This window comes from Homo sapiens, chromosome 10, assembly GCF_000001405.40.
Source record: "Homo sapiens chromosome 10, GRCh38.p14 Primary Assembly".
NCBI lineage: Eukaryota > Metazoa > Chordata > Mammalia > Primates > Hominidae > Homo > Homo sapiens.
The window spans coordinates 1,694,387-1,712,526 of record NC_000010.11 but is presented as its reverse complement, the minus strand read 5'-3'; the positions used below and the strand labels follow the sequence as shown (position 1 = coordinate 1,712,526).

Sequence of the window (18,140 nt, the reverse complement as noted above, 5' to 3'; positions counted from 1 at the left end):
CACAGCCAGTCCAGCTTTGAGAACACACAGTGTGCCTGCCCCCTGTGCTTCCACACAGCCTCTCCTCATGCAGAAGGCACGCAAAGAAAAAAAAAAGCAGTATATTCTGCAATACACCTCATAACTTCTTACCTTTGTATAAAACTGAGGCCATGAAACCAGGTAATTTTTGCCTGCTAGAGCTGTGTGAAATCTTTCAAAAAATATTAATTTTTACATAATAAACTGTTGCATTTCTGCTAGGCTAGGTTGTATAAAACGTGTTTTGAGCAATTACTGTGTGTCAGGAGATAAGCAAATATTGAGTCATAAAAAGAAAATAGTCATTGTCACTGAGGTCTTTGTCCTGGAGGAAGTTTCCTGCACGAATTTGAGAATATCTGTTTTAAATACAGCTTCGAACATTATCAACTGTTGTATTTTCTTAATACATCTTACAAATTTATAATTTGTAAATGTATTTTTACTGGGTGTATTTTGAGTAACTAAAATTATGAGCATTTGGAGAAGGCTGGAAAATCCAAAGTCAACATCCATCTAACATTAAATGAATAAGCTACCCAGAGAATTTGTCTAGGTTTTAATTTCTTATCAGGATGCTTTGGGGGGCTTGATAGCATGGTTCAGAGTTGTATGAAATTCTAGGCAGCTATGAGAATTCTACTAGAACCTGGAATAGCCTGGAAATGTCAGAGCCTCTTCTTATCCTAGTCCTTATAAAGGAGGAAGCTGTGCATGTAAATCTATAAGAGCCTGGGCAGGAGGGAAACTCTTTCATTACTTATTTTCATGGGAAAGAGAAATAAATCTTTAGCCTCGAGAGCTTTGGCAATGCCTGTAACTCCTATTTGTTGGAAGCTATCATACAAGACACAACTGTGTTCCTGAGAAATGAGGAATTGCCTCAGATCACACAGCTGGAAATCAGCTCTAAAGGTCTCCAGCTCTCTTGTTATTCTCACGTTTTCTTCTTTGTCAAGTGGAGGAAAACACCTTAGTAAGGAATCCTCTATGAGACTATGTTCTATATCAAAGAGCAGAAGAACAAAATCAGTGCCAATTATCAACATTCTCAGTGCTCCCATCAGCTATGGTGGTGTTCCTAGGATCCATGCTGGTCTCCGCCAGGGGTAGGAGTTTCCCAGGTGCGTCCTTCAGAGCTGTGACCTCAGCATGGCACCGGGTGTCCAGCGGGTTCCCCTCCAGATAGGAGACCTTGAGTTCGTTCTCACAGACAGGAGACCTTGAGTTTGTTCTCACAGATAGGAGACCTTGAGTTTGTTCTCAGCTTCTCATGTTTTAAGTGTAAGTCAGCTCCCCACTGGCCAAACAGGAAGGACTAACACCTGAGATCCAGCCCTGAGCTTCCAGATGGGGCTGCCTGGCATCCCAGATGATGCTGAGGTTAGGTACCCGTGTCCCTGGCCATTGTGAGCCTATTTTGGGGCCTGGCAAGCTCGGGGTGGGCCAGGCCTCAGAGTAACACACGTCACTGGCTGATGGTGCCCTGAGAGTTTGCAAGAACTAACTTTCAAACATGGAAATGCAGAGCACAGGGGGTTGGGCCAAAAATTAGATCCTCTAGGTTGGTTACATTTGACCCTGCAGGACCACCGGACAGGCCTGGGAAGCATCTGTGGAGGTATCAAAGCTGTCCTCCTCCTCACACTGGCCTGAACAAGCTGAGAAATGAGACAAGGAGTGAAGGTGAAGCCCCAGGGTGGTCTTTCTGGCCAGTAAAGACGAAGCTGAAGGTAGGAGCATGGTGTGAAAGCTGAGAGGCTGCAAGAGCCTGAGAGTCTGCGGGAGCTCACAGTCAGGTGCCCAACGGCATTCCTCGTGCCTCTCTGCAGTCCACGCTGATGGTAGTGTGGTGTGAACCCAGATAAACTGATCAGCACACCAGATTTACCAGCCAGCCTCATCTATCCCCTGCCCTGTGAGTGCCGTGAATAAGTGGCAAGGACAGTGGGAAGGAGGGGAAGGTGCCCCCAGCACCCAAGTGCAGGCTGGATTCCCAGGCATCTCATCCTTATCCCTCCAGCTTATCTTCTGGGTGCATGTGTCCCAGTGGCAGGATCAACTCAAACCCAGGGAGTTTCGGCAATTGCTTTTGCTTATCCATTATATTTCTCCTAAATAGTAACTTTTTTGGAGAAAGGATGGTAATTATCAATGTCACACAAGGCCCCAGCCTCTGATTTAGTGCTGCAGGGCCCTGAGGACAGTTCCAATGCTTGGGATCCATTATTAAGACTCAGAGATGATGAGGGGGAAACCACAGCCAGGTTAGAAATTAAATATACTCTTCTGGGCTGAGTATAAAGGAATAGCTACTGCTGGCCTGTGAGAAGCTGTAATAACTAGTATAAATCATTAACAATGAGGACATAGACTCCCCTAAAGCCACCCTTTCCGCTCAACTGTGAACCTTCCCGGTTTTGAGGCGTGGAAGTTTAGGACAAACCGTCCTCGACTGAGCACTTTGCAGAGAAGGTTATTAGCCCTGCGAGGGGACTGTGCTCTCAGGAGAGCTGCACATAAAATGACCAGGAAGGAAATAGCAGCAACTTCTCAAATTAGCATAATTAGTAATTATCTCTTAATAGCCCCACTTGGCTTTAGAGACTTGGCACTTGAAATTCTGCTTAAAGTTCAGTGAGGAAAAACAAATTTCATGCTGAAATGTCTCAATAACACAGCTGAGCTGCTAAGGTAGTTGTCTGGTTGAGGTAAGGGAAGGAGAGGGGTGTGTTGACGTGCCAAGGGCTTCCTGTAAGAAGAGCTAGGCATGGGGTCATCTATACAGAGAGAAAGCATGGGAAGCATCATTGGAACTCTCCCACTAGCACTCTTTGAAGATACTTTCAGAATGTTCCCCCCTTGGAAGCTCAAGTCACCACCTGTGCTTAGGGTCACTCTTTCTAATGACACATAATTCAGCTTCCTTCAGATCAAAAGTCTCTCCAAAGTAAAGACAATATGAAAAGGAAAAATGGAAAAGAAAGCCCGGCTTCCACATCATAGTCAGCAGCTAACAAACATTGCACAAACCTTGCTGCTTGCTCATTGGAATTCAAATCCAAATAAGATTCACAAAGAAATTAGAGTCTGTGGCAAGAAAACAGATGGATTCTTTCTAATTTTTATGAAGACATGCTTGGCAGGACGTAGAGAAGACATAACTACAGTTTTACAAGACTAAACAACATCCCTCTTTAGGCAAGAAATACTTTCCCCCTCATCAGAGGGAACTTGTGTTATTAATTAGCTGTGTACATTGTAGCAATTTGCAGAAAGTCTAAACCATCCCCTTAAGAGACTTAGCACAAACACTGTACTAGCTTTATTATAAAAGGCAACATAAGTAGGTCTCCACTTAGCGACTTCCATAGAGAGACTCATTCAGCACTAGAGCAGGAAATACCTATGAAACAGTCATTCTTAGTTTAGATCAATGGGGTCAGCATGGAGGCTGAGAAGGTTTCTCAGGACCCGACGTGACCTCCCCTCCTCCCTCCATATTTAAAATGTTCCCTGCGTGGCCTCCTCCTTTCCTTACCTCAGGTGTGTCTTGCGTCCACCACCACAGTCCTCTCCTATGGATTTCCACCCATGCCCTCAGCCCTCTGCTCACATACAGCAAGGGTTGCATGTTCACAGGTGTGGCTTGCAGGCTGGAGGATGGATTCTGCAGTGACTGTAGAAAGAAGGAAAAAGGATTTCATATGTGATGGTGACGTGGTGTGTGCCAAGTGCTTCTGTGTGTACATCCTCGTCAAATCCTCACTGTGACCCCAGGAGGGAGATGCTACTATTCCCATTTTACAGAAAAGGAAAATCTTGCCCTAAAATGATATTGAATTTAGCAAAACTAGGACTTGAACCTGAATGTCTCCCAGGACCCCGGCTGCCCCCAAAGCCCATGCCTCTCCTTGAACATTCTTCTTCTTGTAGCTTTTCCTGCAAATTCTTGATTGGCGTCTTGACTAAAGGGCCTTGTGTCTTGTTGTCTGCCAGCACAGACCCTGGCTGAAAGATTCTGACCAGGAAGGAGGCAAACATATTCATACTTCCCTTTCCATTGAAAATTAATACATATTTAGTCAGGGCAGATTTTCCCAAGTAAATGCATTCTTTCCTTTGAGGAGCAGATTGGGCTTCTCAGACCAAGGCTTGGTGTGGGGTCTGCCCTGGTTAAACTGCAGGTAGGCACCCTGGCGTTGGGAGCCCAGGGTCCCTTTTCTTCATCCCCTTTGATCTTCTCACCTCTCCTGCAACATAGAAAACTCCCCTGAGTTCCTATAATCTTCCACTTTGAACAGGCATCAAAAGATACGAGTTAAACTAGAATCTCTGCTATGGAGAAACTGGAACCCCAAGGGACAGAAGGCAGCCCGCACGGAGCAGAGCCCCAGACAGAGCTGCGGCTTGCCTCTGCCTTCCAGCATTGCATACCTGTCATTTCCACCCTCATGTGAGCACAAGCTACCGTGTCATTTTCCTGAAGGGACCTGGGTCTTAGGCTTTAACACATTGTAGAATGTTAACAACTCTGAATACAGTATTTTTCATGATGAGAAAAAATGGAGGCCAGAAACTCTTTTTAGAGCCCCCTGCAACCTCTCCCACTGACCAGTGCTGACTCTGCTGTGTGTGGACCGGGCTGGTCCCCCAACAAGCAGAGGACCAATCAGACAAAGGTCTGAATTCTGTGCTGCCTGCAGGAAACAGCTTTAACCAAGCTTCATCTTCACAGTCTTCTGAGCCAAATGTCTAGTTTATAAAGAAAGGAGATGAAATGTATACATTTGGAGAAGTCTAACTGTGCCGAACCAAGCCCAGGAAGGCATCCCTGTATAGTGGTTAACCCACACTCTCCAGACAGCCCGAGTCTGCCCGTCCTCAGGTGAGGCACAGTTCTGCACAGGAACCACTCTCCACCTAACAGACCAGGCCACGGGATCGATTTTCAAACACCATCTTCATCAAGTAACAAGATTAATTTTCCGCATCAGGACGTCTCAAAGGCTACATTAGGAAACCGGATTCAAAAGACAATGTGGAGAAAATGCCTGCTTGTGAGAAGACCACTGGCCAAAGACGCTACAAATCAAGATTAAGATGAGCTCTCACTGGGGCAGACAAACGTTCACAGAAAATTCTGGAAAACGGGGTGCATGAGGATTTGAAGCCCCGTGGGACACACCCCTCTATTCCTCCTTCGGAGTCTTCCCTCTGCCTCCTCTGACGAGGTGGATCTGAGGTGGCATCAGTGAAAGGAGGCGCCTATGGGCAGGTCCTGGGCAGATCGGGGCCGCGGTGCTGAGCTGTGCGCCGGTGCAGGAATCCGGGACACCGCGTGAAGGAAGCACCTGTAAAGGAATCCAGGGGAAAAGGGCATATTTTCTGGAAACAATGTTTGTTGTGATCGAAATAATTTTGATATCCATTTGATGAAATAAAAATCCTAAACTTTTTCTGTGGGGTGTATCTCCCTCTTCACTCTGGACCGGGTACCTGAAGAGAGGAACGCATGAAGCCATGTCAGGAGGCCCCGGGGAAACCCTTTGCCCAAAGAAAATCCCACTTCCTGCCCAATGAAACCCTACTTCCTGCCCAACAAAAACCCCACTTCCTGCCGTTCACCACTCTGGTGTCCCTGGAGAGGTTGTCCTCAGTGGAGGGTGTGATTCTTTTGTTCCCCATCAGTCTCCTCCTGTTATAAGGCCAGTGTTGTCTTTCTGATTAGCACGTCAATGTGTGTTTATTTAATGGAGTAAGATTTTTGACTTCACACACAGGCAGAAGATAAAAATACCTGAGAAACCAGGCTTCTGATTCTCAATTACTGCAGAAAGCAACATCATCCTGCAGATTCTAGTCCAGCGCCAGGCCCTCTGTTTGTTGAAAAGTAGGACTGTTTTCCTTTGAAATAAAAATACTTGGAGGAATCAAAAGGTACCGAAAATACTCTCCTGGAACACCATTTGGATTTGTTGCCTTGAGAAGAAGAAATCACTGCAGCACAAAATGTGTTGCCTGAATATGTAAATACCTGTGGCTGGCCTTCTGGCTTCTGGGACAAAGGCCAGCCCACAGGAAAAACAGCAAAGGAGAGGAGATTTTTGAAGCCTAGGGGTGCTCACCTCTTCTACTCCCAAGCTGTTCCTATTCCCCAGTTCTCTTTGTACCCATTTCTCACCATTTTTCATGCATGGAATGTTCTGCTTCTGAAAGGCAAGAAACATGGTCAGCCATGTCGATAAGTATGGCCTTGACCCTAGTCAAGCTCTACTCAGGAGAGAAAAAGCATCACCTATGCTTCCAGGGTAGGGAGCGAAAACACTAGCGTTTTAGCAAAGTGAATTTGAGCACACAGCTGATTCTGTACATTCTCTGCTCTCTGATAAAAGCAAGTCAACATTTGATGCTGCTCACATTACCGTCATTCACTGCAGCTCCACTAATCACAGCTAATGGCTGGTAAAGCATTCATGTGTACTAGAACCTCAGCTAAAGAACAAAAAACAAGAAGATAAAATGGTAAACATAAATTTAAAATAAGGCATTAAACCACTGTAATTCACCGTGAAGTGTTTTGTCACTTTCTGATCCTAGAATAGCTAGGGAAGCAATACTTAAGAGAAAAAAAAAATCAATCAAAGCAAAATTTGATCTCCAAATTCAAATAACTTCCCAAGTATACCTCTCATTGTCCCTGTGAGTCATTATCCACAGAGGCGGACGGCAGCTATCCCTGGAACCCTCAGAGCAGCACAATATTGAGAGGCCTCACACGCTTCTTTGTAAGAACAGCTTTAGGTGGAGACAGTAAAATCATCTGATGGTGAATGATGGGAATAAATAGATTGCTTCACCTTAATTGCCGCACCCTGCATTTCAGGACAGTTATGTCTGAAATTTTCAGATTAAGCTTGTTCTCTACAAAACTGTCTGTAAACAATCTCCATTGCATTCTGTTCATTAACCCCCGCTCAGCTGCCTGCCTAACATCCTGAGAACCTACCTGGCCTTGCAGCCCTTCTCACCCCATCTGCCGCCTCTCCTCCTGCTGCTGCCCTGGGGCTCCGGTGACACTGTGATCAAGTGACCCAGTCCGTCCTCTCCGGTCCCCCAGGACCCCTGGTGCCATCCACGTCAGCTGCCTTGTCCATCATACCGGCCACTCTTCCAGACCACACTACCCTCCCCAGCCACAAAACCGGCATAGAGTGGGCAGAGGCACCATGTAGAATGCAGCCCCTGCAACCCTGCCAAGCACAGCCGCCTTGGCCCATCCACCTGTGTCCTCAAAGTGTCAAAGTGGTTTCGTCATTAGATCAAGAGGACTTTAGGGTCTAAGCCATTCTGAGGCTACAGAGGTTTGGAAAATGTGAAGAAATGCCACTTTAATTAAATAATTTTAAAAATCAACCTACATTTGTTTCTTTATTTTTTTAATGAAATTATGGGATTTCAGCTGCAATTTTTTTCACACATATTGAAAAGCTTTGAAAGGACTTCTCCCAGGGCTTTGCCTGTGGGTCTGTGCTCATGGGGTTATTGCCTCTGAGACTCATGGCTGGGTGGTGCCCACGCCCTCATGGTCTCCCCTGCACCCTTTTCCTGCTCAAATGATAAACTGCTGGGCTCCTCAGTGAGAGAGTGGAGGCTCAGGCTGGCATATGCAAGCTCACCGTTCTCAATACTCCCTGCCCCTTTAACATCTTGACCCACACTAGCTTTTTTATCATTCTGTGCTTCCAGGCTCTCTGAGACCCTATCAGATTTATTCTTTGTAATAATATCAATAATCCCACATGATTCCAAACCACTTTATATGTACCCCTCACAAAACCCCAGAGTTAGATGCTTTAACTCAGACGTCTCCAGCCCCCGGGCCAAGGACTGGTACTGGTCCAGGACCTGTTAGGAGCTGGGCTGCACAGCAGGAGGTTAGTGAGCAAGGCTTCATCTATATTTACAGCCACTCTCTGCCACTCACATTATGTCTGAGCTCTGCCTTCTGTCAGGTCACAGTGGCATTAGATTCCTATAGGAGTGGGGATCCTATTGCTAACTGTGCTTGTAAGGGATCCAGGTTGCAGACTCCTTATGAAAATCTAATGCCTGATGATCTGTCACTGTCTCCCATCATCCCCAGGTGGGGCCATCGAGTTGCAGGAAAACAAGCTCAGGACTCCCACTGATTCTACATTATGCTGAGTTATATAATTATTTCATTATATATTACAATGTAATATTAATAGAAATAAAGTGCACAATAAATATAATGTGCTTGAATCATCCTGAAACCATCCCTGCAGCCCCCAGTCCATGGAAAAATTGTCTTCCACAAAACCAGCCATCCCTGGTGCCAGAAAGGTTGGGGACAGGACCGCTGTCTTACAGCAAGAGTGAGGCTGCTCCTGGATTCCTGACCCACAGGAAGTTAGATATAGTGTTTGTTCTTTTAAGATACTAACTCTTGAGGTAACTTGTCACAAAGCAATAGATAGCTAATGTAGCATCCAATAAACAAACTAAAATCAATCACGGCTTGCTAGGTCTTCCCCCTGGCTGAACACCACCTCTTAGGAGTGAGTCCCCTGTGAAAGTCGCAAGGTCACTCATTCCCGTGGTTGACCGCATTTAACAAAAGGTGAATCCAGTTGAAAGCCAGTGTATAGTGAACAGTGGTCAAAAGATTTGGTGGACTTAATATGGCCAAATGCTACTTTCAAAAAACACCTTGCTTTCAAAGAAACGCTCCCAGATACAATGACCATTGGGTTCTCTTACCTAAAAAGCACACAAGGCTGCAAGATGAAAAATTCATCTGAGGATTCAGGCAAAATCATCAATTAATCATTTTAAGATTATTATGCTAAACAGCTAATAATCTGTTTTATCCTATTTGATGCAAAATCTCCCCATTCTATTTTTAAGGGAGATGTGACTCCACATACCTCACTTTCCAGTTCTTGCATCGTCTCCTGCACCATCAACTCTCCCCTCTCTGCTGGATCATCCCTGCCTACTCAAACACACACTACTATTTCTCTTGTCTTAAAAAAGTCTCCCCCCACCCCTCAGCCTCCTCACTGCTCACCAGCATCCAGGCTCCAAGCCTTTGCACCTGCTGTGCCTCGGGGTGGAGCTCCACTCCTCCAGGTCCCCACAGGCCCCATCCTCTATTCCCTTAGAAGTACGCTAAAATGTCACCCTCCTCATCAGGTGTTCCCTGGATGCCCCTTCAACCTGCAGCCCCCACCCCCTTGCTATTTATGCCCATGCCCTCCACCCATGAAAATGCTCAGTTCCACTAGGACTGAAGCCCTCATCCTTTTTTCCTTTTAATTGCTGTATCTGGAGAACTCAGATGAGCCCCTGGTGTAGCACGTGCTTACATGTGCAGTGAATCAGTGAACGGGTCTGCTTCTCCATGCAACTCGCTATCCCACACTCAAAATCATTCTGTATTCATTGTGTTTGTGTCTTTTTTCTGATAATACAATTACTGAAGATTCATTGCAGAAACTTCTGAAAATACTGAAAAGTGTTAGTAAGACAATGAAAATGAGTCCCTACCATCTGAAGATAACAGTAGCTAATTCTTTACTGCTTATAACTGTAGCAAGTGGTTCATACCTTGAATCTTGCATTGCAATCTGCTTTTAAAAATAACCCATACTCATCATCGCATGTGGTGAAACATTCCTCTAAAGGAGGGCCAGTCTGAGATCTTGTCTGAACTTGTGGGAGAAAATCAGCGAGAGCACTGCCAGTGAGGCATTCATTCTCAAATGTGGGGCCCAGAGAGGCCGGCAGGAGCATGTACCCTGGGGAATGGGGGCAGAAGGTCTTACAGTGCTCAAGCAAAGCAGGGTCACTGGAGTTCAGTGAGTCTGAGAATAGAGGGGTGACTTTTGTGGATTAGCAGCCATCGCTTGGACAATCTGGATTTTAATCAAGACAGGTGGAGAGAAAAGGGAAGAGAGTGATGGACATGGAGGAAAATCCCCAGATTTTCGGGATTCCCTACCTGCCCAGGTGCTGGGACAGAGAGACCTCAAGAGAGAGGAAGAGTCAAGGGCCCCAGACCCTCACCCTCTTCCTTCATCTTCCCTCCTCAGCCTTTGTATTCAAGAGGGGTTTGAGGGTCGTCTCTAAAACATGGTGACTGCATGGTAATTCCATCTAATGAATGGGTTATGGTTATCCACTACTGTCAAAATTGAGTTTAATTCAAAAATTGTGCTTTTATACAGAGTGCTACAATGATGAGTTGTTCTCATACTTAAGTCTGTATATTTGCCTTATGCATTTGAAGGTGGATGAACAATTCCATTATCAGTCATTGGTAGATTCACCCTGTGGGATGCAGCATTCTCTGTCCTGGTCACATACAGAAAGGAGCCTCCACCTCATCTTCAGGGAATGGCCAATCAGGGCTTCTACATCAGCAGGTGAACTCTGAGCATGACTCTCTCTCCCACTTCTTTCTCTTTGTCTTTCTTTAAATTTCACAGTCTTTCTTCATTTCCCTCAAGCCAAGCATACACACGCCTCTATACCATGGAATGTATTGACGAGCGCCTGGTCTCCCGGTGGAGTGGGATTGAGTGTATTGGCGAGCGCCTGGTCTCCCGGTGGAGTGGGATTGCGTGTACTGGTGAGCGCCTGGTCTCCCTGTGGAGTGGGATTGCGTGTATTGGCGAGTGCCCGGTCTCCCGGTGGAGTGGGATTGCGTGTATTGACTAGCGCCTGGTCTCCCGGTGGAGTGGGATTGCGTGTATTGGCGAGTGCCTGGTCTCCCGGTGGAGTGGGATTGAGTGTATTGACGAGCGCCTGGTCTCCCGGTGGAGTGGGATTGTGTGTGTTGGCGAGTGCCCGGTCTCCTGGTAGAGTGGGATTGCGTGTATTGACTAGCGCCTGGTCTCCTGGTGGAGTGGGATTGAGTGTATTGGCGAGCGCCTGGTCTCCTGGTGGAGTGGGATTGTGTGTGTTGGCGAGAATGCCTGGTCTCCCGGTGGAGTGGGATTGAGTGTATTGGCGAGCGCCTGGTCTCCCGGTGGAGTGGGATTGCGTGTATTGGCGAGCGCCTGGTCTCCTGGTGGAGTGGGATTGCGTGTATTGACTAGCGCCTGGTCTCCCGGTGGAGTGGGATTGCGTGTATTGGCGAGTGCCCGGTCTCCTGGTGGAGTGGGATTGCGTGTATTGACTAGCGTCTGGTCTCCCGGTGGAGTGGGATTGCGTGTATTGACTAGCGCCTGGTCTCCCGGTGGAGTGGGATTGCGTGTATTGGTGAGTGCCTGGTCTCCCGGTGGAGTGGGATTGAGTGTATTGACGAGCGCCTGGTCTCCCGGTGGAGTGGGATTGTGTGTATTGGCGAGTGCCCGGTCTCCTGGTAGAGTGGGATTGCGTGTATTGACTAGCGCCTGGTCTCCCGGTGGAGTGGGATTGAGTGTATTGGCGAGCGCCTGGTCTCCTGGTGGAGTGGGATTGTGTGTGTTGGCGAGTGCCTGGTCTCCCGGTGGAGTGGGATTGAGTGTATTGGCGAGCGCCTGGTCTCCCGGTGGAGTGGGATTGCGTGTATTGGCGAGCGCCTGGTCTCCTGGTGGAGTGGGATTGTGTGTGTTGGCGAGTGCCTGGTCTCCCGGTGGAGTGGGATTGAGTGTATTGGCGAGCGCCTGGTCTCCCGGTGGAGTGGGATTGAGTGTATTGACGAGCGCCTGGTCTCCCGGTGGAGTGGGATTGTGTGTGTTGGCGAGTGCCCGGTCTCCTGGTGGAGTGGGATTGCGTGTATTGACTAGCGCCTGGTCTCCCGGTGGAGTGGGATTGCATGTATTGGCGAGCGCCCGGTCTCCCGGTGGAGTGGGATTGCGTGTATTGACTAGCGTCTGGTCTCCCGGTGGAGTGGGATTGTGTGTGTTGGCGAGTGCCTGGTCTCCCGGTGGAGTGGGATTGAGTGTATTGGCGAGCGCCTGGTCTCCCGGTGGAGTGGGATTGAGTGTATTGACGAGCGCCTGGTCTCCCGGTGGAGTGGGATTGTGTGTGTTGGCGAGTGCCCGGTCTCCTGGTGGAGTGGGATTGCGTGTATTGACTAGCGCCTGGTCTCCCGGTGGAGTGGGATTGAGTGTATTGGCGAGCGCCTGGTCTCCCGGTGGAGTGGGATTGTGTGTGTTGGCGAGTGCCCGGTCTCCTGGTAGAGTGGGATTGCGTGTATTGACTAGCGCCTGGTCTCCCGGTGGAGTGGGATTGAGTGTATTGGCGAGCGCCTGGTCTCCTGGTGGAGTGGGATTGCGTGTATTGGCGAGCGCCTGGTCTCCTGGTGGAGTGGGATTGTGTGTGTTGGCGAGTGCCTGGTCTCCCGGTGGAGTGGGATTGAGTGTATTGGCGAGCGCCTGGTCTCCCGGTGGAGTGGGATTGAGTGTATTGACGAGCGCCTGGTCTCCCGGTGGAGTGGGATTGTGTGTGTTGGCGAGTGCCCGGTCTCCTGGTGGAGTGGGATTGCGTGTATTGACTAGCGCCTGGTCTCCCGGTGGAGTGGGATTGCGTGTATTGGCGAGTGCCCGGTCTCCTGGTGGAGTGGGATTGCGTGTATTGACTAGCGTCTGGTCTCCCGGTGGAGTGGGATTGCGTGTATTGACTAGCGCCTGGTCTCCCGGTGGAGTGGGATTGCGTGTATTGGTGAGTGCCTGGTCTCCCCGGTGGAGTGGGATTGAGTGTATTGACGAGCGCCTGGTCTCCCCGGTGGAGTGGGATTGTGTGTATTGGCGAGTGCCCCGGTCTCCCTGGTGGAAGTGGGTTTGCGTGTATTGACTAGCGCCTGGTCTCCCGGTGGAGTGGGATTGAGTGTATTGACTAGCGCCTGGTCTCCCGGTGGAGTGGGATTGAGTGTATTGGCGAGCGCCTGGTCTCCCGGTGGAGTGGGATTGAGTGTATTGGCGAGCGCCTGGTCTCCCGGTGGAGTGGGATTGCGTGTATTGGCGAGCGCCTGGTCTCCCGGTGGAGTGGGATTGCGTGTACTGGTGAGCACCTGGTCTCCCGGTGGAGTGGGATTGCGTGTATTGGCGAGTGCCCGGTCTCCCGGTGGAGTGGGATTGAGTGTATTGGCGAGCGCCTGGTCTCCCGGTGGAGTGGGATTGCGTGTATTGGCGAGCGCCTGGTCTCCCGGTGGAGTGGGATTGCGTGTACTGGTGAGCACCTGGTCTCCCGGTGGAGTGGGATTGCGTGTATTGGCGAGTGCCCGGTCTCCCGGTGGAGTGGGATTGAGTGTATTGGCGAGCGCCTGGTCTCCTGGTAGAGTGGGATTGCGTGTATTGGTGAGCGCCTGGTCTCCAGGTGGAGTGGGATTGCAGTATGCTGCAGCTGGCAGTGGATGCATCTTTAATTTGATAACGCTTAAAATCACTGCAGTGTCAGCCTTGACCAAATGAGGTTTAAAAAAAGTCATTTGCAGCCAGGCATGGTGGCTCATGCCTGTAATCCCAGCACTTCGGGAGGCCGAGGTGGATGTATAAGTTGAGGTCAGGAGCTTGAGACCAGCCTGGCCAACATGGCGAAACCCAATCTCTACTAAAAATACAAAAGTTAGCTCAGCCTGGTGGTGGGTGCCTGTAATCCCAGCTACTCAGGAGGCTGAGGCAGGGAGAACTGCTTGAACTTGGGAGGCAGAAGTTGCAGTGACCCAAGATAATGCCATTGCATTCCAGCCTGAGCGACAGAGCAAGATGCCATTTAAAAAATAATAATAATAAATTTTTTAAAAGTCATTTGCCCCTTCAACTCTTTCTACCTTCACTGTTTTTATTACAATTAAGTCTATTTTTGAATGTTCTGCTCCACCTTTAACTACCCTTTTACACAACACACAGATGTGCCTTTTTCCAACATTAGAAGTTGCTTTTTCCATCAAGTTTTTACTCCTATGCGTCTCTCATACCCAGCTGCAGTGTCAGCCCAGGGATGTTCTGGGAATTATGGATGAGGATGTTCGAATTTTTTCTTCCATGAGCAACATATTGTTATTCCAACAAGAAAGGGGATCTTCAGCTGTCTGGAAGGCAGGAAGAGGAAGCGTATGTCTCTCCCCCATGCTCTGTGCATGACATCGGAGGTCGCAGAGCCCCCTCCAGTGGCTGTGGAGACCGCCTTTGTTGAAGGTGGCTCTCAAAGGTCAGAGTGGCCTCCAAGCTCTATTCCTCATTCCACGGGTGGCAATGTTCCGTGTCCCGCACCTGCTAATGGGTGGCATCTTCAGTGTAGGGGAAAACTTGATTAAGGCTGTTCATAAGAAAGAGAAAAAGCAACACCTACAATTTTAAAAGAAAAGGAGTTTTAAGTCTTTACCATCTGATTAAACATGTTGGTACGTGGGACAGGGAGCATGTGAGTAACTACTAAAGAGGGAAGCCAGAGAGGGCAGTGGGAGAGGTAGAGATGTTGATTTATTAATATGTAACCATTGGAAACCCATCATTCTAACAAAGGTGTGTAGTTTTTCTGACAGGTGAAAGTCGCGTATTATTGTTTAATGTTTAGAGAACTGCATAAGAAACTATCCATTCCCAACCGCTCCTCACAGCCCAGTAACCTGACTTCTGCCTTGCTGTACTTCTTGAGAGGAACCTTCAAATAGGGATGAATTCACGGTTACGGAGTAAGCAAGTCGAAAGAGAAGTTGCAGGGAGTCGGGGCATTTGGGGGATGACAGGATCCACTGAAGAATTCCATCAGGGCTTCAATACACCGTGCTCAGGTCACGGGCCCCAACTGGTTCCGGGCTTTTCCGTCAGCCCGCCGGGGACTCACACTGCAGCACATCCTGGGAGCATGCAGAGGGAGCCTGTGGGGTTTCTCTTCCCACCCACCCTTGTCTGGGGTTCAGGATGGACACACAAAGCAGCCAATTTCTCATTAGAGAAGACAGCATTTCAGTATCAACTGTGGGGCTTCTTTTGGAGTTTTGCTGATCTGTGTAGATGAATCTTTTCTCACTTTCTCAATGTCTTCCTAGTTTTTCTTTCTCACCAAGTTTCTTCTCACCGTCTTGTGCATCGATGCCTCCAGTGATGGGGCAGGTTTGAGCCACGTGTTCTCTGTGTCTGTCTCGCTCAGTGTTCAGTCAATGTTCACACTACTGACTTGCTGGCATCTGAAAACTGAGCAACAAGGAAGACAAGAGGGGAGAAGACCTGGAACATGTTGCTTTCAAGGAAATCTCATCAGTTTCCCTGGATTTTGTTTGATTTTCCTTTCGGAAGAGAGGCTGACCCTCTTGCCACAGGGCTGTGGGGAATGTGTGTGTTTAGGTGTGTGGGTGGGCAAATAACCAGACCCACAGCAGTGTTCGCACACAGAGGCCCGAGCAGCCCCCACCCAGATGAGCAGGGAGGTGGATTCAAGAGAAGAAACAGAAATGAAAACCTTTAGATCAGGGGTGTCCAATCTTTTGGCTTCCCTGGGCCACATCAGAAGAAGAACTGTCTTGGGCCACACATAAAATACACTAACATTAACGATAGCTAATAAGCTAAAAAAAAAAAATCACAAAATAATCTCATCATGTTTTAAGAAAGCTTACAAATTTGTGTTGGGCATTCAAAGCCATCATGGGCTGCATGTGGCCCATAGGCTGCAGGTTGGACAAACTTGCTCTAGAAGCTGGTGGAGGCTGGGACCAAGGAAGGGAGTACAGGGTCAGAAGTGCCAAGGGTCACCTGCATCCACCTTGTCACAGCCTCTAGCCTCTTTGCAGTTCAGCCCCAGGTCCCAGGTCCTGAGCAGAATGCCCTACAGGAGGAGGCTACCACCCAGGCTCCAGACCCTGGGCAGGCCTGAGAAGCATTCATCTCTCAGCGGAGGCACAGCCTGTCCAGGTGGGCAGGTCCGCTGGACACTGGGAGTTCAACAGGATGCAGCTGCCAGGCCTAAATGTCTACCACCTCTGATAACATACCCTCAGAGGACAAAGCAATTGGAAAGGGCCTTTAATCACAATGTTAGGAATGGGGGTTGAAATAAAAGGCTGCTTAAAGCATAAATATTATCACTACCAAAGTAAAAAAACAGGAGAAATCATATATAATTTCCACCATTTTAAAAGACATAAATATGTGTGTATTTCCATATAAAATCTGTCACGACCTCACTCACTGCCTCTACACATGCACACACAATGCACATGAACACAAAACACACGTGCACACATATAAACGCAAAGCACAACACACGTGCATACACACAAACAGGCACATACACAATGCACATGTGCACACACAAACATGCATATACGCACATATACACAGGCATATAAACGTGACACATATATGCATGTGTGCATACACAGACACATGCAAACACATACACACAATATACATGTGTGATACTACATGCAAACATGGACATGTGTGTGCATATATGCACACAGACATGCATGGATGCACATATACACAATGCATGTGTGTGCATGTATATGTGCATGCACACATACACACGCAGGCATACACACAGGCACACCCCACACACATGCATGCACATATTCTCTCACATACACATGTGCATCCCACACACAGGCATACACATATGCACACTTTCACAATTACATCTGCACGTGTGTGCCCTCATGCATGTGTGTGTCCTCATGCATGTGTGTGTACATGGATGCACACATGTACACACACATGCATGCACTCTCACAAACACATGTACATATATACACACATGCACCCATGTGTATGCACAGACACACCTACACATGCATGTTTCCATGTATACATACACATGCATGGTCTCACATACATGTATGTTTGCATACATGCACACACATTCATGTTTCTTGCATACATGCACATACGCTCTCGCATGCATGTTTATGTGTATACATGCACACACTCTCACAAACATGCATGTTTCTGTGTATACATGCACACACAGACCTACACATGGATCTTTGCTCCTGCCCTTTGCCTCTGCCTCTTTATCTCCATAGCACTCTCACCGTCTATATATGAGATTGTTTAATAAGCTCTTAATGAATAAATGAGTGACTGAATCAATGGTAACGACCCCTAAAGTGGATAGCTTGAGGTAAAAGGAAGAAAACCGTCACTACTGAGCATCTGATGTGAGCTCTGCTCCTTGCTGTGTGAGCCTGTTAATGCTGAGAACAGCTGAGGCTCGGGGGTCACTCTGTCTGCTCTGAGCTGCACCGCTGGTAAGGGGGTTCTCAAAGTACACGGTGGGCCTGGTCGGTTCTGCAGAGCCCATTCTTGCCAGGAAGAAGAGTATCCTCACTTCACCATGCAGGGCAGCTGGTGTCTGTTTTTGTGGGTTCAGAATCAGAGGTTCCAAGAAGTGACCTGACCATCTGAGGCTGCTGGTGGTGAGTGAACCGTCTGCTGAACAGATGCGCTGTTTTCAGGCTTCCATTCTCCTCGCTGCACAAAACCCAAGAGGAGTCATATCTGGCACGGGGGGCCCATGACCCACACATCCCTGTTCATCTCGCTGCCCCTGAGAACCATGGCGAGTCGCAAGGTCTCCCTCCCGGTGCAGGCGTGGAGCTGTGTAACCTTCCATGCAGAGGCTTCACGTGAAAAGGAGCCCCAGGATGCACGTGGCTCAGGTGCCCCCTCTGCTTCCCACCCACAGGCCTCACCTTTGCTGTGAGTCATGAAGACCCCACTCCCAGACATCTGCTCATCCTAACCCCATAACCCTCCCTCCCTCGGCTCTGAGCCTGTCCAGCTCCTGCTGCTTCCAAAACCCGGACTGAAAAAACGTAAATGTGCTTGTCCTATTTCTCTAATTGTCCAAATGTACCTTACTTTTAGTTTCATTTCAAAATCTCTTCAATAGGATTGATCGATTTGAGTGTTGATTGTTAATTATTCTAGGGACTGACCAAGAATAAGGTGAGTCAGACCCCACCATTCCCCTGAATGGGGCCATTGCATTTATTTCCCACACACTTCACTCAGACACATTGTTAGTGGAAGGAAGTGCCACCGGTTGTGGGTCGTGCATGTACAGTTTAAAAGCCCTGATTTGTGTTCAATTAAGACTAAGTAAGAGTGAAAAATCAGTGTCCAGCTTATAGAATAGGCATACACATTGTATACACACCAGTG

The 18,140-nt window shown here is 48.2% G+C and overlaps 1 protein-coding gene across 1 annotated transcript in view, besides 1 other annotated feature; it reads left to right on the top strand.

Annotated features, from left to right (window-relative positions):
• Positions 1-18,140, top strand: part of ADARB2 (adenosine deaminase RNA specific B2 (inactive)) — a 560,213-nt gene that overhangs the window by 24,999 nt on the left and 517,074 nt on the right. The window lies entirely within an intron of this gene.
• Positions 17,107-17,271: a silencer, noted in NCBI's record as "fragment chr10:1737450-1737614 (GRCh37/hg19 assembly coordinates)". NCBI's record gives its function as "represses an EF-1alpha promoter that drives an FKBP-Casp9 reporter gene in an ReSE screen in phorbol 12-myristate 13-acetate-treated (for megakaryocytic differentiation) K562 erythroleukemia cells {active_cell/tissue: K562(+PMA)}" and the evidence as "EXISTENCE:reporter gene assay evidence [ECO:0000049][PMID:32094911]".